This window comes from Homo sapiens, chromosome 18, assembly GCF_000001405.40.
Source record: "Homo sapiens chromosome 18, GRCh38.p14 Primary Assembly".
NCBI classification, from domain to species: Eukaryota; Metazoa; Chordata; class Mammalia; order Primates; family Hominidae; genus Homo; species Homo sapiens.
The window spans coordinates 49,194,827-49,215,768 of NC_000018.10; the positions used below are offsets into that span (position 1 = coordinate 49,194,827).

A 20,942-nucleotide genomic window follows, 5' to 3' on the forward strand; every position below is an offset into this window, starting at 1 on the left:
TGGTATTTTTAATATACACAAATATGTATTTTCTTATGTTTTACCTATATTCCTGAAACTTCACTCTGTTACTACTATTGCAGTCATTAGCCTCCATAATTTACTTATGCCAAAGGAAAACTTTTTGGGGGAGTGAGTGGTGATGGTAAAGCTTGCTAGGACTACTCTATTTTCAAATTTTTCCAATTTTGTGTTTAAATGTCAAGTGGCAAAATTTAATGTAAAATAATTTTGCTTTCCCTTCTGTGCTCTTCTGCTTAGCTGAAGCTAGCAGAGTAAATGTTACTTTATGATTTTTTTCATGCTTTTATTTAATTAATGGTCATATATGTATATATTTTCCCAACACTTTATTCTTACCTAACAAGATGTAATTGTTAGTTCAGTTCACTGTCTACTCAAAGTATCGTGTTACTTTAAAATTAAGTTTTCTCCTTTTTAGTTGATGCATTATAACTGTACATATTTATGCGATTCAGAGTGATACCTCTATGTGTGTATACAACAGGTAATGATCAAATCAAAGTAATTAGGATAGCCATCACCTCAAATATTCATCATTTCCTTGTGTTGTGAACATTCAAAATTCTCTCTTCTAGTTTTTTGAGAATATACAATAAATTATAGTTAACCATATTTACCCTTCAGTACCACAGAACAACAGAACTCACTCTTTCTAGCTAGCTATAATTTTGTATTCATTAACCAGCCTCTCCCTATCCTCCCCTCCTAGCTGAGGAAATCATAACAGAATCTACACTACTGCTTCTACCCAGAATTGAAGCCAAAGCACCCTACCCACTCAACACTATAGATACAACCACAAGAAAAAGTTTTGTGTTTTTAGGAGGGATGTTTCAAAGCATGTTGATACTGCCTTGATGGTCATGGTTATCAGATAATTTCAACAAGTGGAAAATTTGTAAATTCTTTCACTGGGAGGAAAAGCAATGCAATTCCACAAATTCAAGAAGACTTAGGGAGCCTTCGTTTAGTCAGGTAGTTTTACTGTACGTGGGTAGAAACTAAAACCAGAGAACTACAACCAAATACTTCATTATCTAATTATGCTCTCTTGAATGCTACCATCTTTTTTTTTTTTTTTTTTTTTTTTTGAGACGGAGCCTCGCTCTGTTGCCCAACTTGGAGTGCAGTGGTGCGATCTCGGCTCACTGCAACCTTCACCTCCCGGGTTCAAGCGAATTCTCCTGCCTCAGCCTCCCGAGTAGCTGGGATCACAGGCACCCACCACCACACCCGGCTAATGTTTTGTATTTTTAGTAGAGATGGGGTTTCGCCATGTTGGCCAGGCTGGTCTGGAACTCCTAACCTCAGGTGATCCACCCGCCTTGGCCTTCCAAAGTGCTGGGATTACAGGTGTGAGCCACTGCACTGCACCCGGCCTTGAATGCTACTTTTAAGACACAGTAGCTTTATAACAGGATCACACTTTACTGCTTCTCTAAGTCTATTGAAAAGTGGTCATTAGTAGACTGAGCAAGTCTGCAAAAAGTTAAGTTCATTTCAGCAAAACAAAATTACCCATTCTCAGCAAATATGAAGCACCTATTGAATACCCAAGTATCATATTAAGTGCTAGGGATCAGTGGTTACACACACACACACACACACACACACACATTTTCTGCCCTTATGGAACTAATGATCTACTCTTAGAGTGAGAGTGACAGCAAAAGTGAGAGAGTGCGAGGGGTGGTGTGTGAGAGGAACCATAATATTAACATAACAATGTTTTGGATAAAGGAAAACTTGTCTGAGGAAGTGAAAAATGTAAGAAAATATGGAGAAGGAAAAAGACAGGAAAGAACATGCAAAAAGTCCTGAGATAGAAAAGGGGTGAGCAACTCCTGGAAGAGAAAGCACAATTGATATGGCTAGAGAATGTAGCATCCTAAGGGCAAAGAAAAGTCACTAAAGGGTTGAGCAAGGAAGATACATGTAACTTAGAATCTATGAAGATGCTTGCTGGATCGGGAATTAGGGGTGAGGGTGGGGTGACAGAACTTGAGGAAAAGGACTAGGTAGGAGTCCAGGTGTGTGATAAGGACTGTCTGAGCTAGGGTGACTGGCAGTGGTAACAGAGAAAAAAAAGTAGAGATTTGATTTATATTTTGGATAGAGAACTGAAATGGATGTAGTGAGGATGAATACAGCAGGTGAGGGGAAAATGCTGATGACTCTTAGATGGTGGGCAGAAGCAACTTGACGGATACAGGCACCATTCATGGAGATGAAAAGGTTTATGGAGAAAGCTTAAGAGTTCTCTTGGGAGATGGGACATGTGAGGTATGAGTGTTGATGTTAACAGTAAGGCAGCTCTCAGGACAGGACAAGGGCTCAGAGTTTCAGCTGGACTATCAATTTGGAACATATTGGCATGTGGATGTCATGTAAAGTCATAGAAATTGATGAAAATGGCTAAGGTAAGAGTTTAAGTACAGAAAAGGGCTTTAGGAACAAGCTTTTTAAAAGTTCTAATGTTTAAAACCAAAAAGCATAAAAAAAATGGCAAAAGGGGGGGAAGAAAGCCAGGAGTATGCTGTCACAGAAGCCAAAAGAGGGTGGGGCTGTACTACCTAGTTCATCTGTTGAGGTCAAGTAAAGAAGGCGGTGAAGTTTCTCAAAATGTGCCTTCTACTCTCCCCTAGAATGCATGTAAACAATTCACTCCCATGGTTCTTGAAAAAAAGAAAAACCCCAAACCAGAAACATACTAAGTTAGAAGAACAATTTTTAAAAATTTATCTATTATAGCCAAATCATGAGTGAACTCCCATTCACAATTGCTTCAAAGAGAGTAAAATACCTAGGAATCCAACTTACAAGGGACGTGAAGGACCTCTTCAAGGAGAACTACAAACCACTGCTCAATGAAATAAAAGAGGATACAAACAAATGGGAGAATATTCCATGCTCATGGGTAGGAAGAATCAATATCATGAAACTGGCCATACTGCCCAAGGTAATTTAAAGATTCAATGCCATCCCCATCAAGCTACCAATGACCTTCTTCACAGAATTGGAAAAAACTACTTTAAAGTTCATATGGAACCAAAAAAGAGCCCGCATCGCCAAGTCAATCCTAAGCCAAGAGAACAAAGCTGGAGGCATCACGCTACTTGACTTCAAACTGTACTACAAGGCTACAGTAACCAAAACAGCATGGTACTGGTACCAAAACAGAGATATAGACCAATGGAACAGAACAGAGCCCTCAGAAATAGTGCCACACATCTACAACCATCTGATCTTTGACAAACCTGACAAAAACAAGAAATGGGGAAAGGATTCCCTATTTAATAAATGGTGCTGGGAAAACTGGCTAGCCATATGGAGAAAACTGAAACTGGATCCCTTCCTTACACCTTATACAAAAATTAATTCAAGATGGATTAAAGACTTAGATGTTAGACCTAAAACCATAAAAACCCTAGAAGAAAACCTAGGCAATACCATTCAGGACATAGGCATGGGCAAGGACTTCATGTCTAAAACACCAAAAACAATGGCAACAAAAGCCAAAATTGACAAATGGGATCTAATTCAACTAAAGAGCTTCTGCACAGCAAAAGAAACTACCATCAGAGTGAACAGGCAACCTACAGAATGGGAGAAAATTTTTGCCATCTACCCATCTGACAAGGGGCTAATATCCAAAATCTACAAAGAACTCAAACAAATTTACAAGAAAAAAACAACCCCATCAAAAAGTGGGTGAAGAACATGAACAGACACTTCTCAAAAGAAGACATTTATGCAGCCAAAAGACACATGAAAAAATGCTCATCATCACTGGCCATCAGAGAAATGCAAATCAAAACCACAATGAGATACCATCTCACACCAGTTAGAATGGCAATCATTAAAAAGTCAGGAAACAACAGGTGCTGGAGAGGATGTGGAGAAATAGGAACACTTTTACACTGTTGGTGGGACTGTAAACTAGTTTAACCATTGTGGAAGTCGGTGTGGCGATTCCTCAGGGATCTAGAACTAGAAATACCATTTGACCCAGCCATCCCATTACTGGGTATATACCCAAAGGATTATAAATGATGCTGCTATAAAGACACATGCACACGTATGTTTATTGCAGCACTATTCACAATAGCAAAGACTTGGAACCAAGCCAAATGTCCAACAATGATAGACTGGATTAAGAAAATGTGGCACATATACACCATGGAATACTATGTGGCCATAAAAAAGGATGAGTTAATGTCCTTTGTAGGGACATGGATGAAGCTGGAAACCATCACTCTCAGCAAACTATCACAAGGACAAAAAACCAAACACCACATGTTCTCACTCATAGGTGGGAAATGAACAATGAGAACACTTGGACACAGGAAGGGGAACATCACACACCAGGGCCTGTTGTGGGGTGGGGGGAGAAAGGAGGGATAGCATTAGGAGATATACCTAATGTAAATGACAAGTTAATGGGTGCAGCACACCAACATGGCACATGTATACATATGTAACAAACCTGCACGTTGTGCCCATGTACCCTAAAACTTAAAGTATAATTAAATAAAAAAATTTATCTATTACATTTTCTTACCAACTTTTCTGATCTGAATTTACTTGTCCTATTTTGACTTATACTGCACTGACTAACGCTGTAAATCTTTAAGACTGAATACCACATTATGGAAAATAGAATAGGCTTGATGACAGGATCAAGTAATGAATATGTAATTCAAAAGGAAACCATAATGGTTTAAGTGGGATAATACATTTCATTTCATGCCACAGAAGTGGCACAGAAATCAATAAAGCACAGCCACAACAGAATTATTACGACAGTATCATATGCATGAAAAATTATTACTATAGCTTCAAGTATTTATTCATTACAGATTAAGTGAATAGCATATTATATGACAAGACCATTCCAGCAATTTTTAAAACTTGTTTTGAGGAAACTCATTAGAGCTTTGTCTTAGATTTAGACTGAAGATGCAATCCTTTGAAAGTAATAAAATGGCACCAGATGTGATTTTTTTTAAAGCACAGTATAAAAGACATGACAAATGGGTAAAAGTATTCCTAAATTTGAAAGTGCTACAGTTGAGATATAAAAATGATTTCATATTACACGTACTTAGAATTATAAATCCATTCAGTTAAAAAGAAAAGAAAAAAAAAGAAGAAAAAAAGCAAATCTATGAAAGTTCTAAAATAAACCATGGGAGAAATTCTCTGTGATCATACTGAGGAACTCCTATCTAATCCTGTAAACCACCGCAGTTCTTTGCCAATTAATAAAGTGGCATTGCATTATGTTAGTAGAGGGAAAAAAGGAAAGAAAATCCAAAGACATACATGTAACTTAGGGGTGGTTGGGAGGAGGGTAGAGAAAAGTGAGAGAAAAAATTTATTTAAATTTGCATAATTTTTTTAATTTGTAAAAGATAAATTTTAAATAATTTTAAAAAGAAATGTCATGTACATTTTACTATTGTTCCACAGCTATTTTTATACATTATCTGGTTTTTGGACACATACATAATTTTTATGTAGTTGTTTTAATAGCAGTATATAATTTTATATTTTTTTCATTAAACATTATATCAAATATAACTACTAAAAATAGAAAATAGCAGTATAGAAGCTTATATTCTTTTTTCATAAACATTATGTCAAATGTTTTCCATATTTCTACTTATTTTTCTTTATAATATTTTAATGGCTGTATGATATTCCATTGAGTTGATAGGATATAGTTTATTTGACCATTCTTCTATTTTGTTCCTAAATATAACCCTTTCTTTAGGTTAAGTTCTTCCCTTAAGATAAATTCCAATATATTAACATTTTAATGACTTTTGGTAAATACTTCTAGCATATTTCTTTATAGAATCCACTATCTTCATTACTAAATTTTTTAATTGACAAAAATTATATATATTTATGATGTAAATGATGTTTTGATATATGTATACATTGTGGAAATGATTAAATCAGGCAAATTAACATATTAATTGCTTCACATACTTCTTTGTGGTAAGAACACTTAAAGATCTACTCTCCTAGCAATTTTCATGTATACAATACATTGTTATTAACAATAATCACCATGTTGTGAAACAGATCTCTTGAATCGCCATTCTTTGTATTGCATTGTATGGCTGGAAAATAATCCAGAATCACGTATTATGCTATATCTTTAGTATAACAAATTTTTAAATGGTTGGACAGTTCAAAAAATCTTCACTCTTAAAAAATCATTCTTTTACCAACTGATTACACAAAGCTTTTAATATGAGTATCGGTAATAAGAATACCCCTAGCACACTCCTCTTACAGTATAAAATATAAACCACACAAATGATACATACTAAATATTTGCCATGTTGATAGGAACTAACTACATGCACAGAAGTAATAACACAGTTCCTACTAATATTTCATACTACACCATTTCAATGTTGAATTATGTTCTCTCAATATCATACTTCAATTCCTTTTTTTTTCAAAGTTCACCTCCATTAAGTCCTTCTTTTTCCATCTCTACTGCCACAATCAGGTAGTCTATGTGTTGGTCTATTACCTAAATTCAGATTCTTTCACCTCAGGTTCATTTAAATGCATGACAGTCATCAGACGCAGCATGCTTCGACCACATCAGTCAGGCTCAAAAGCACCAAGTAAAACTCAATGGGCTACCAAAATCATACACAAAAAAAGCCAGAACAAATAAAATACATGAAATGGCCTGGCCTAGCATTCAAGGCCCTCGAGAGTCTGGCCCTGGAGAATGTAACTCGTTGCAATACTGATTAATATCACAGATAAATCTGTTTTTGCCAAACATCCTATTACTGCCTTAGCATATGTCATGTGCTCTTCTATATGTGAACTTCTGGACTTGAGTTTTCCATGCCTACTCTGCTAATAGCACATTATCTATTCTTAGTTACTGCGCAGATAATCCTGTTTCAGACTACTTCAGATTCTCCTGTCAGAAGAGATCGCTTTTTATATGTTACTAATTTTATATTTAACTAACAGTACAAGGTAATGATTTTTTCCCAATGGTATTATTTTTCTGTCTTCACCATGAACCCCATTTGCTGTTTGGCACAGGACTAATCACACGGTAATCACTGAATAAGCATTTGTTAATTAGTCAGGACAGGAACTCTCTATTGTATGGCAGAGACTGTTAGTTGTCCCCATAACCATCTTCCCTTCTTACCCAACAGCAGAATACTTAGCAGGCCACAGGGTCACTTAGCCGAAAACTTTCTTTCCAGCTCACCACGCACGTTGGGTAGTCCTATGACAAACTTTTGGCCAAAGGGATGTGTGATGCCCTTAAAATGGAAATGTACATCCAACCCTAGTCCCTTTCACTCTTCTACTATCTGAAATGCAGAGCTTGTGGTGAGCCATTCGCGACCTTTTGGTCAGAGCAACACACAGGGGGTGGTGGAACACAACAGAAAAGAACTCTAGGGGAGTGCAGTGGCGTGATCTCGGCTCACTACAACCTACACCTCCCAGCCGCCTGCCTTGGCCTCCCAAAGTGCCGAGATTGCAGCCTCTGCCCGGCCGCCACCCCGTCTGGGAAGTGAGGAGTGTCTCTGCCTGGCCGCCCATCGTCTGGGATGTGAGGAGCCCCTCTGCCTGGCTGCCCAGTCTGGAAAGTGAGGAGCGTCTCCGCCCGGCCGCCATCCCATCTAGGAAGTGAGGAGCGCCTCTTCCCAGCCGCCATCACATCTAGGAAGTGAGGAGCGTCTCTGCCCGGCCGCCCATTGTCTGAGATGTGGGGAGCGCCTCTGCCCCGCCGCCCCATCTGGGATGTGAGGAGCGCCTCTGCCCGGCCGAGACCCCGTCTGGGAGGTGAGGAGCGTCTATGCCTGGCCGCCCCGTCTGAGAAGTGAGGAGACCCTCTGCCTGGCAACCACCCCGTCTGAGAAGTGAGGAGCCCCTCCGCCCGGCAGCTGCCCCGTCTGAGAAGTGAGGAGCCTCTCCGCCCGGCAGCCACCCCATCTGGGAAGTGAGGAGCGTCTCCGCCCGGCAGCCACCCCGTCCGGGAGGGAGGTTGGGGGGGGTCAGCCCCCCGCCTGGCCAGCCGCCCCATCCGGGAGGGAGGTGAGGGGTCAGCCCCCCCGCCCGGCCAGCCGTGCCATCCGGGAGGGAGGTGGGGGGGTCAGCCCCCCGCCTGGCCGGCCGTGCCGTCCGGGAGGGAGGTTGGGGGGTCAGCCCTCCGCCCGGCCAGCCGCCCCGTCCGGGAGGTGAGGGGCGCCTCTGCCCGGCTGCCCCTACTGGGATGTGAGGAGCCCCTCTGCCCGGCCAGCCGCCCCGTCCGGGAGGGAGGTTGGGGGGTCAGCCCCCCGCCCGGCCAGCCACCCCGTCTGGGAGGGAGGTGGGGGGGGTCAGCCCCCCCTGCCCGGCCAGCCGCCCCGTCCAGGAGGTGAGGGGCGCCTCTGCCCGGCCGCCCCTACTGGGAAGTGAGGAGCCCCTCTGCCCGGCCACCACCCCGTCTGGGAGGTGTGCCCAACAGCTCATTGAGAACGGGCCAGGATGACAATGGCGGCTTTGTGGAATAGAAAGGCGGGAAAGGTGGGGAAAAGATTGAGAAATCGGATGGTTGCCGTGTCTGTGTGAAAGAAGTAGACATGGGAGACTTTTCATTTTGTTCTGCACTAAGAAAAATTCCTCTGCCTTGGGATCCTGTTGATCTGTGACCTTACCCCCAACCCTGTGCTCTCTGAAACATGTGCTGTGTCCACTCAGGGTTAAATGGTTTAAGGGCGGTGCAAGATGTGCTTTGTTAAACAGATGCTTGAAGGCAGCATGCTCGTTAAGAGTCATCACCAATCCCTAATCTCAAGTAATCAGGGACACAAACACTGCGGAAGGCCGCAGGGTCCTCTGCCTAGGAAAACCAGAGACCTTTGTTCACTTGTTTATCTGCTGACCTTCCCTCCACTATTGTCCCATGACCCTGCCAAATCCCCCTCTGTGAGAAACACCCAAGAATTATCAATAAAAAAATAAATTTAAAAAAGTAAAAAAAAAAAAAAAAAAAAAAAAAAACAACTCTGGGTCTTGAAAATTCTATGGGGCAGAGCTGCCACATTAGCTCTACTTTTACTTGAGAAGTAAACTTCCATTTGCTTCTTTAAGCCACTATTATTTGGGCAGGGGAGTCTCTCTTTTACACAGCACCTATATCTAAAACTCTACCTAAATCAGGTCCATGTAAGCCTAAATCAGGTCCACTCCTACTTCTGGTTTTTGAAGAGAGGGTCTATAATTTTTAATAGATTGTAGAAGAGTTATATGAACCCCAAAAGGTCAGGAACCACTGATCCTGGCAAAGTATTAACTAGTCAAGGACTTCAGTGTTAACATGCTTTACTTTATAAAAAGAGAATATAATGTTTTTAACTCAATGTGTGTTAGAAAATAATTTTTAAACATTTCTGATGCTCTTTTCAGCTTTCTCTCATCAAGCAGCAACAATCTGAAGAGCCGAGTTAATAGTAACTCAAAATAAACTGTGCCACTGCAACAGAATTAACTCAACACTAAACTTAGCCCTTCATTTTTCCTTGCCTCAGGCCTAATTAAAACAATAGTAGCAGCTATATTTTTGACATCAGCAAAGTATGTGAAGTAAAAATAAAGACAAATAGGTACTTTCTTACTTCACAGATTTCTCACCAAACTTATTCACTACTCCACCCTGAAACCTAAGAAATTAGAACTTAAAATTGGACGTGGAACTCTAAGCAGTATTGGTCTGTTACCTAAAGTCAGATTCTTTCCTCTCAGATTCACTTAAATGCATGACAGTCATCAGAAGCAGCATGCTTTGACCATATCACAATCATTGTCAAAAGCACTAAGTAAACCTCAACTCGCTACTGAAGTGCACACACAAACTAAAAAAGCCTAGCAATGAATTGAAATTCTCAAGCGCTTACTCAAAATTCTAAATTTGATTTCTAGAGAAGTCAAATCCAAGGTTGGTAGTTTGAGAGCTGATTTCAATGCTTCTGGGGGTAAAATGGAGGAGCTAACAGGTCTGAAAGGCTTATGGCTTCATAAAATGTGACTCAGAACAAGATAAATTCAATACATTACATATATTTATTTGTTTATTTATTTCTTGAGACAGAGTCTCACTCTGTTGCTCAGGCTGGAGTGCAGTGGCGTGATCTCGGCTTACTGCAACCTCTGCCTCCTGGGTTCAAGCGATTCTCCTGCCTCAGCCTCCCAAGTAGCTGGGACTACAGGCATGTACCACTACACCCAGCTAATTTTTTGTATTTTTAGTAGAGACAGGGTTTCACCATGTTGGCCAGGCTGGTCTTGAAATCCTGTCCTCAGGTGATCCACCTGCCTCAGCCTCCCAAACTGCTAAGATTACAGGCGTGAGTCACTGTGACTGGCCTCAATACATTACATTTAAATAAGAACAAATGTAAAGCCCTGCAATCACATTCAAATAATTAAATATACAAATCTAGAGAAATGTGTTTTTGTGTGAAAAAGATCTGGTAATTCTATATGAGTCAAGGTGTGCCTGCTTTTAAAAATCACTCCAGTCTTAGGACAAATTAAGAGTATAATTTATTACAGATTGCCATAGTAGATGAGAAAAAAATACATATAACATAACTATAATTTTATAATTCATATTTTTAAATTATAAAATATACTGAAATATTATATCAAATTCTGGATATCAAATTTTATGATGGGTACTATCAATCATCCAAGAAGATAATAAAAAGACTGCATAATCTAAAAATCATCGGCTGTCAGGAATGGTTTAAGTGGCCAAGGTATTTAAGCTGAAGAGAACAAAAATTAAGGGGAGTCAATGACAGGTGTTTTCAAAAACCCAAGGGGACCTCATAGACAGCACAGTTTACACATTTATGTGTTTCTCTAAAGCACAGAGCTATAGCCAATATACAAAAATTATTGGTAGGCAGGCTTAACATATTCTAATCTTTCTAAAAATGAAACAGCAAGAGCTTTACTGCCTTCTGAGGTAAGCAGCACACAGAAGTGCTCTCTTTCAGGGTTGCTGTGAAACGAATTCTTACATTTGGAAGAAGTTTGCAGTGGAGTAAGACTTCTATCTATAGCAGTAAGTCATGTTTGACTAAGGTAGAGTTTTTTTTTTGTTTTTTTGTTTTTTGCGGAGTCTTGCTCTGTGTCACCCAGGCTGGAGTGCAGTGGCACAATCTCGGCTCACTGCAACCTCCGTCTCCCAGGCTCAAGCGATTCTCCTGCCTCAGACTCCTGAGTAGCTGGGACTACAAGCGTGTGCCACCACTCCTGGCTAATTTTTTGTATTTTTAGTAGAGACAGGGTTTCACTGTGTTAGCCAGGATGGTCTCGATCTCCTGACCTTATGATCTGCCCATCTTGGCCTCCCAAAGTGCTGGTATTACAGGCATTAGCCACCGCGCCCAGCTGGTAAAGTTCTTTTTTAAGAAATAAGCTTATATTTCTCTCTAGAAACTGAGTTACATTTTTAAATTCCGCATAACAGAAAGCTATTTGATTTTGTTAAGTAAGTCCATGATTGCTCCATTCAGATATTTGGCTTGGTTTGTCTCTCTATATAATGTAGTTCTGTTGAAGAAAATCTCTCACCTGCAGGGACTACACTCCACCTGGCCATGTGTCACTGTGTATGCAAAATGTTTGTCACCTGCAAAGGAACACGGCAAGAGAAGATGGCGAGGTAATTCCTTTTATGCAAATCTATTCAGGTCTGTCCTGAATAGAACAGTGTCCTCTGTCCTGTCCCAGACTGCAAGTGGTAAGGCAAGGAGTGAAAGTTGGTTGGGGGTATGGGGAGGAAGCCTTAACTCCAGAGCCCATGCCCCTAGCCACTACACTATATTAACACTGTATTTCTTCTCTGTTGTTCAGAAAAAAATGGGCAGGGCCTCAGGAGGGCTTGATATTGAAAAAATACCCCCTGGAGGCTTCATACTGTAAACCCCAGCTGAGAGTACTGAGAAACCCAAGTGGGTAAGGAAGGAGGGGGTTCCAGGAAAGGTGTTGAAAGAGGAAACAGAAAATGCAGAATAAATTCTACACTGACTCAGAAACTGAGTGTTGGCTGAACTCTGCTGGGCATCAGGGGAAGGAGGCTCAGGAATTGGACACTGCTTTCACCACATGGTGTCTCCATCTTTCTCCTCATTTTTAAACTTTTGTTTTTCCCTACTTTGTCTTCCTTCTCCTTTTTCTTTCATTTTCTTTTATTTTCCCAGCTGAACATGTATTTCTGTCTCCTGTCTGCTCCTGCTAGGTGAGGAGTGTGACTCCAGGAGAAAAAAGACAGGGGCCTCTGGCACACATGACGAATGCTAAAATCTGCTGCCAGCTGTATTAATGAGGGTTAACAATGCGCCAGGCATGATATGCTATACGATGTATAACAATGAACAAGATATAGTGTTTACCCCCAGAAGGCTTATAGTTTCCACAAAACCATAGGAGAGATATGACAGGATAGGATATATACAAAGAAAAACACATGGAACAGATACGTGGTAACAAAGAACACAGAAGAGAAGCATAGTGTGATGATGTTTTATGTGTAAACCTGGCTAAACTATTGTGCCCAGTTGTTGGGTCAAACACTAGTCTAGATGTTGCTGTGAAGGTATTTGCAGATGTGATTAACATTTATGGAATGTTAAGGAAAGCAGAGTACCTTTTATAACATGAATAGGACTCACCCAATCAGCTGAAGCTATTATAAAGACTGAGGTTTCCTGAGGAAGAAGGAATTCTGTCTGAAGACCACAGCATAAAAATCCTGCCTGAGTCACTTGTCTGACGGCCTGCCCTGTGCATTTAGAATTTGAGACTGCAATATCAAGGCTTACCTGAATTTCCAGGCTGCCAACCTGCCCTACAGATTTCAGACTTGCAAGCCCCTGCAATAGCCAAAGCCCAAAATAGCTCTGTCTCCATCTCTCTCTCTCTCCACTTACATATAAAATCTCCTATTGGTTTTGTGGAGAGTCCGATGATACACTAGTAAATAAGAGTAAGGTCGACCGGGTGTAGTGGCTCACACCTGTAATTCCAACACTTTGGGAGGCCGAGGAGGGCAGATCACTTGAGGTCAGGAGTTCAAGACTAGCCTGGCCAACATGGTGAAACACTGTCTCTTCTAAAAATATAAAAATTAGCCAGGCGTGGTGGTGCACACCTGTAATCCCAGCTACTCGGGAGGCTGAGGTGGGAGAACTGCTTGGGCCAGGGAGGCAGAGGTTGCAGTGAGCAGAGATTGAGTCACTGCAGCCTAGCCTGGGTGACAGAGCAAGACTCCATCTCAAAAAAAAAAAAAAAAAAAAAATTAAAAAGAAAAAGACGTCAATTATCCTGCACATTTCAGAAGTTCAATGATCAGCAGCAGTTCTCCTCATTCCTTGAAACCAGACACACTCTGTCTCCAATTCCTGAGAGTATCATGCAACTTACCTGATATTCCCTCACTTTCCATAAGCCAGTGGAAAGTCACTGGGTTTAGTCTGCTAAATTTGATAAATTCTTCTAACATTACATACGTAACAGTTAATTCTATTATTTTCACCTACTTTTCTAACCCTCAGTTTTTTATTTCTCAAAAGTATCTACAATGACTCGATGTGAGGCTGATCAACATCATCACGAGTCTATAAAATCTTTCTGCTTCCAAGAAAAGTCTCTGTCAACTTACACACCAGACTGCTTTCCTTTCCTAGCAATCAAGTATTTTCACTTAGATATTATGTATAGTCTCAAGTTTTATATGTTTCATCATCTGAAAAGGTCTATTTTAAATTCTAAATGTTTGCTAATTTCTGGTTAAGGTTGTCATGGAGTTTTCTCCTTCTTCATCTAAATCATCTGGCAGTGAAGTTATTGCCTTAAATCACCATATCTAGCTAACAGTATAGTGCTGGTATAAGTCATCTCTTACTTAGAAAAAAAAAAACGTGTTAAAAATGTTAACTGCAAAGCACAAAGTGGTAATGTCATACTGCCCCTCTATTTTGGTGCACGATAAACACAAAACAGCAGGTGTTGATTTTCTCTGATATTCGAGATTGACAGCTTGTCTCTTTCTTACTCCACTGACCCCCATTATGTTTAATCTACATTCATCCATGACACATTGCAACCTGCTGATTTTATATGATTTTATAGCCACTCTGTATGTAAATAAAATGAGTACAAAATACAAAACCCCAATAGTATAATTTCTGCCTTCCTATAAAATCAACCTGCTCAACTGAATGCACCTCTATCGGAACATAGGTGAAATCCTACAGCTAGCTCTCAGGTGTGCTTGCATGAAGGAGAACTCAAAGGTCATAGTAACTGTAGAGTCTATTTCATATAAAACATCAGAGCACTCCAACTACTATAAATCAAAAGATTCCCAAATGGAATGCGGTATAGAATAGTTCTGGCAAGTTTATATAGACAACTCTGTGGTTGAAAGCTTTCCTCTCTCCCGTGAAACATAATATAAATTACTTAAGAAGACATTTGTAAGGAAACAAAATCCAGCTATTATTTTAAAAAAATTATTTAGTACCATTTCAAATATAAATGTTCTCTTTAATAATTTAATTGACACATGTCTTATTAAAACATGCAATTGTCAGTCATATACAACATGCAGCATGCAGTAAATGGACAGCAGAGGTTAATAACCTGGAAGCATAGGATCTGAGAATGTGAGAGCAAGTTAAAGACAAGAGTTCCTCTCCATTGTCACTGAGGGTCGAGAAGCAATGCTGAAGCGTAGAACAGTGAGAGTGGGGGAAATACAGTTTGTCCAACACATAAACATATCTCCGCAAGTGGCGGCAGGTATAACTGAAAGACAAAGGTAAAAGGAGAGAAACAGAAAGAGAGGAGTTTTCCTTTGAAAAAATAAATCATTTTTTATGTCCTCAAAGCTTTCTGTGTATCTTCACTAGATGGTGCCCAAGAAAAAAAAAAACTGTCAGAATAAAAAGTTAAAAAAGAAAATGAACAATCAGAATAAAAAATGGGCAAAAGATCTAAACAGACACTTCATCAGAGAAGATATACAGATGGCAAATAAGCATATGAAGAGATGTTTAACATCATACATCACTAGGAAAATGCAAATTCAAACAATGAGACACCACCACAGACTATTTGAATGGCCCAAATCCAGAGCATGGATTACACCAAATGCAGGCGAGGATGTGGAGCAACAGGAACTCTCATTCACTGCTGGTGGAAATGCACAATGGTAAAGCTACTTTGGAATGCAGTTCGGCAGTTTCTTATAAAACTAAATATACTCTTACCATACAATCCAGAAATTGTGCTCTTTAGAATTTATCCAAAAGAGTTGAAAACTTATATCCACACAAAAATCTGCACACAGGTGTTTATGGCAGCTTTATTCATAACTGCCCAAACTTGAAAGCAACCAAGGTATTCTTTAGTAGATGAATAAATAAATAAACGGTGGTACATCTAGACGATGGATTATTATTTAGGGCTAAAAAAATGAGCTATGAAGTCATGAAAAGACATGGAGGAACCTAAATTACTAAGTGAAAGCCACCAATCTGCAAAGGCTACATATTGTGTGATTCCATTTATATGACATTCTGGAAAAGGAAAAACTATGGAGACAGCAAAAAGATTAGGGGTTGCCAGGAGTTAGAGGGGAGAGAGGGATGAATATACAAAGCATAGAGGATTTTTAGGACAGTGAAGCTACTGTATTACTACTATAATGGTGGATACATACATTTGTCAAAAACCAAAGAATATACAACACCAAGAGTGAACCCTAATGTAAACTATGTAGTTTGGATGATTATGTGTCAATGCAGTTTCATCAACTATAACAAATACGTCACTCTGGCACAGGATGTTGATAGTGGGGGAGGTTGGAGGCCAGGGGATATATGGCAACTCTATACTTTCTGATCACTTTTGCTGTGAACCTAAAACTGCTCTTTAAAAAGTCTATTTAGGGGAGAAAAGGCATACTCACTGGGAGAAAAGTCTCAAAATATGAGGCTGTCATTAGTGAACCACATAAAATACGCCTTGGTAGAACAAAGTGATACAAAATACTTTTTCTTCACGGTATTAGGAATATGTTCCTGGCAAGTAGGCAATAATACTACTACAATATGGAAGAGATTATGGTAGAGAGAACACTGAATTAGGAGTCAGAAAACTTAGAAATCCTTTGGAAAAGTGCTTGCAAAAATAAAATTTTTTAAAGAAAGACAAAACTTAGAAATCTAAATCCTGCTCACCCATTGGCAGCTTTATAATAGTGGGTGTATGATCTCTCTAAGCCTCAAACCCATAAGCGAACAACATAGTAAAAAATTTTAAACCGCTCCAAGATTTTAAAGTGATATTACAAAAAATAAAGTAATAAGAGGACCAATAAGAATTATTACTATTATTGTCAGAGTAATTTCACTGACGCCACATTTCAGGCCATTTAAAAATAGCAAGCTAGAGAGAAGAGAATGTAAAATCAATCTGACAAGGTGAATCAACACAATAGTGAACATATCTGATATGTCTTGGCTATTATTAGTCCTTGAGAATCATGTCTGAAGAACTACATCAAAACTATATCAAAGTATTAATACCAAGAGGGTGATAGGTAATTTTTAAAGTATGTTGAACTCAAAACTAGTAAGTTAGAAGATTTGAAATGGGCAAATTTCCACAAACGAACAATCCATTCATCCATTCAACCACCAGCCTATCAAACAACCAATCAGTCAAGCAGTAACTACTATCTACTGCATGTGGGAATAGTGCTGGGCATTGAAGACAGGGTGGGGAATGATGTACACACAATCTCTACCCTTAGGGAGCTTACAACCTAGAGCAGGAGACAGATTATTAGACAAAACAAAATTCCTCTGAAATAGAGAAAGTCTTAAGAAGCTGTTAATCTCCAAAACAGAGTAGTTAAAAATCTTTTAAAGTAGGCTTATATTTAAAGAGATATTTCTATTGAGTCTTGGAAAGGATTCTAGGACTCCATCTACCAAAAGAGAGCAAAAACTTAAAATACAAGAAACATATTCTTGAAAAATGTGTATCACCAGCACTTTAAACAAGGGATCACAGTTAACATTAACATCAGTAATGGAACAAGTAGATGTCATGTGGCTCCTGATATGATCACAGCATAGCCAAAATCTAATTCCCAAAAAATCAAGCAAACCAAAATTGAGGGACATTCTACAAATAAACAAAAAACTGTTCTGTATTCTCCAAATTTTAAAGGCCATAAAAGACAAAGAAAGACTGAGGGACCATTCCAGATTAAAAAAGATGAAAGAAGACAACTATATGTAACATGATTTTGGTATTAGATTCCTGACTTGGAGGAGAAAAAAGGCATTTTTTACTTAAAATAGTTTTTATCAATGTTAATTTCCTGATTTTGAAAAATATCCTTATTTTTAAGAAATACACCATGTAGTACTTAGCAATGGGACATCATGTCTGTAAACTTATTCTCAACCATTTCAAAAAAAAGAGACAAACACAATAGTAAAGCAAATGTGGTAAAATTTTAACATTTGGGAATGTGAGTTAAAGGTAAATGAAAATTATTTGCACTATTTTTGGTAAAACTAATTTTTTTTTTTTGAGACAGTCTCATTCTGTCACCCAGGCTGGAGTACAGTGCCACAATCATAGCTCACTGCAGCCTAAACTACCTAGGCAAGTGATCCTCTTACCTCAGCCTCCCAAATAGCTGGAACCACAAGTGTGTGCCACCACACTCAGCTAATTTTTAAAATTTTTACTAGAGGCAGGGTCTCACTATATTGCCCAGTCTGGTCTTAAATTCTTGGGCTCAAGTGATCCATCCACCCTGGCCTTCCAAAGTGTTGAGATTACAGAAATAAGCCACCATGTCCGGCCTAATTTATTTTTAATCTGAAAAAAAAAATAGAACTGATCTTTTTGATAAACTGAATAATATCCATTTTAAGATTATGAGATTCAAACCTAGAGCCCTAAAATGTCATTCTGACCTCTATACTTACAGCTTGGGACATCAGAAAAACAAGATCATGGGAAGGAGGCAAATGTGGTCTGGAGCTAGCCCATAAAAAACAGTCACTGTTACTTAAGAATTACTTTCACAAAAATAAAATTTCCTTAGTGCCTTCTTACAAGAAAATGTCCAAGATTGTGCAATGTATAGTTCTGAAATGTTATTTGATATGGTTATGCTTCACTAAAATAAAGTACAACAATATTCTGTCCTAGAACAACATTCAAGTCTGTAAAAGATGACAAAAACCACAAGCAAAAGAGTAATGCTTAAAAAAGATTCCAAGGTGAAGTTTTCTAATAATGTATTTTTCAGTACTTTAATAATAAAATTATAACACATTTCCATAGGAACTTTTTCTAACTTTTTTTTTTTTTTTTTGGAGATGGAGTTTTGCCCTGTTGCCTAGACTGGAGTGCAATGGCATGATCTCGGCTCACTGCAACCTCCGCCTCCCGGGTTCAAGCAATTCTACCGGGTTCAAGCAATTCTCCTGTCTCAGCCTCCTGAATAGCTGGGACTACAGGCGCATGCCACCATGCCCAGCTAACTTTTGTATTTTTAGTAGAGATGGGGTTTCCCCATATTGGTCAAGCTGGTCTTGAAATCCTGACCTCAGGCAATCCACCCACTTCAGCCTCCCAAAGTGATGGGATTACAGGCACGAGCCACAGTGCCTAGCCAATTTATTTTCTTAATTATCTATATGCTTAAAGAACTTAAAAAAATGAGATTACCAGAGGCAAGTTAACCTTTACCTAGACTGATAAAAATATTCTGTATATCCTTTTCCAATGTCCCTTCTTCTTCCCTCCTCTCCTTCCTTTGAGAAAGCTCATTAGTAGACCCATTAGTAGATTAAAAAATACCAAGAAATTAAATTAATAATACATGTTTATGGCCTATATAAAGAAAATTACCAAAATTTACTATTTGGCATAAAAGAAATCTTGAATAAATGAAGAAATACTAACTAGCATGATTTTGGAAGGGAAGACAAAATATTAAGAATGCAATTATCCTTCACAGATTCAAAATCTCAACAGTGGTATTTGATTTTGACAACATTACTCTTATAGTAGTTCCTAAATTTTTTTAGGTGGCCATTTTAAAAGCCAACAAAAGACACGGATTCCCTTACAGAAAAATGTACCAACACGAAATGCTTGGGATTCAGTGGTACAAAAAGATACATGGATTCTGCTCTCATAGAACCAGGGTTCCCATCCCCCATTCTGAAGCCTGTTAGGAACTGGGCTACATAGCAGTAGGTGAGTGGCAGTTGAATGAGCAAAGCTTCATCTGTATTCAGAGCCACTCCCCACTGCTTGCATTACCACCTGAGCTCCGCCTCCTGTCAGATCAGTGGTGGCATTAGATTCTCATAGGAAGACGAACCCTATTATGAACTGCACATGCGAGGAATTGAGGTTGTATGCTCCTCATGAGAATCTAATGCCTGATGATCTGATCTGAAGTGGAACGGTTTCATCCCAAAACCATCCCCTGTTCTGCCCCTGTCCGTGGAAAAACTGACTTCCACAAAACTGGTCCTTGGTGCAACAAAGGTTGAGGACTGCTGTCACAGAATATACATTTAAATAGAGGGAGATTCAGAATCAATGAGTAAAAAAAAAAAAAAAGATAAATTTGTTAAGCAAATAAATATGATAAAGGTGGAAGAGGGGCTGAAGGGGCTAATTGTTAATTTTGGTGGTTATGAACAATTTCACTGATGGTATGATATTTGACATGAGAAACAAATACCCAGCAGAACTACAACCTCAACTTCTCAAGCATTTGACATTATGAGCTAATTACATTAGCATAACTGAATAAAATATTTCGCATTTCCACTGAAAGGGATGATACTAATAAACTTGTAATGGGGCTTAGATGTGAATAAGATGATGATTCATTTTAGTGGATGGGTCTAGACAGTGAGGATTCCTGAAATGGGCACTGTGATCTCAGAATCACAGGGCTGGGAGAGCCCAGGAGGTCATCATGTGCAAGATCTATCCACAGAAGAATATCTAACATCCCTTGTGAGATGTTCGCACTGCTCTTACTATACATCTTTAAGGGAAAAAGAACTCTCTAGTTTGACAAATAGCCTCATTCCACAGATATGTAAATTCTAACAATTAGAAAACTTCTCCTTATAATAAGCTAAATCCATTTGTTCTGTAACTTCTACCCAGTAATGAAACATGGAATTCAGTACACAAAGTCTAACTTATTTCCTTACACTACAGTCTTTAAATAGATGAGGAAATTGTGAATTTCTTCATCTTTTCTTCTCTGATTGATATTAAAATCTGTTCATCTCTCATGGGCTATGGTTTTCAGATTCCTCGTCAGTCTTATTACTCTCCTTTGGATACTCAAACTGCTTAATAAGCTTCTTAGCAACACACTCAGTGGAGGGAGAAGTACTTTCTCACTGGTAGTATTGAGAATTGCTGGTGCATGGTGAGAATAAAAACCCAGACAAAATCTTGTTAGTTTTATTATAGTTTTGAAATTCTTTACAGACATAGACAATATATCCCCTTATTGCCATCCAGATCCAGGATAAACCACTCGTATCATCCCACCCTTGATACTGGGCTGGCCATTCCTAAAATATGGCAAAAAGAAGTAAACAGATTATTCTAGATGTGTCATGTTTTGGGCAGTGTTGAAAAGATTATACTCTATTAATGCTGCTTAAAATTATACATACTCAAAAACTAAAGTTGAACTAAAAAGAAAAACAAATTCCCTCAAACTGAAAACTAAAACAAATTTAATTGCATCTCAAGTGGTAATGAAACTACACAAAGAAGCTGGC

At 39.0% G+C, this 20,942-nt stretch overlaps 1 protein-coding gene across 40 annotated transcripts in view, besides 1 other annotated feature; it reads right to left on the reverse strand.

Annotated features, from left to right (window-relative positions):
- Positions 1-20,942, reverse strand: part of DYM (dymeclin) — a 424,259-nt gene that overhangs the window by 158,440 nt on the left and 244,877 nt on the right. For 11 of the 40 annotated variants that reach the window (NM_001374429.1, NM_001353212.3, NM_001374441.1 and 8 more), the window contains one exon: positions 14,725-14,889. The exons of the other annotated variants lie outside the window; for them this stretch is intronic. In NM_001374429.1, coding sequence (NP_001361358.1) covers positions 14,725-14,889 — 165 coding nt within the window. The remainder of the gene's footprint in view (positions 1-14,724; positions 14,890-20,942) is intronic. 40 annotated transcript variants of the gene reach the window in all.
- Positions 8,175-9,052: an enhancer, noted in NCBI's record as "NANOG-H3K27ac hESC enhancer chr18:46729371-46730248 (GRCh37/hg19 assembly coordinates)". NCBI's record gives its function as "activates a minimal SCP1, AML or CMV promoter by ChIP-STARR-seq in naive H9 embryonic stem cells {active_cell/tissue: H9 hESC(naive)}" and the evidence as "EXISTENCE:reporter gene assay evidence [ECO:0000049][PMID:30033119]".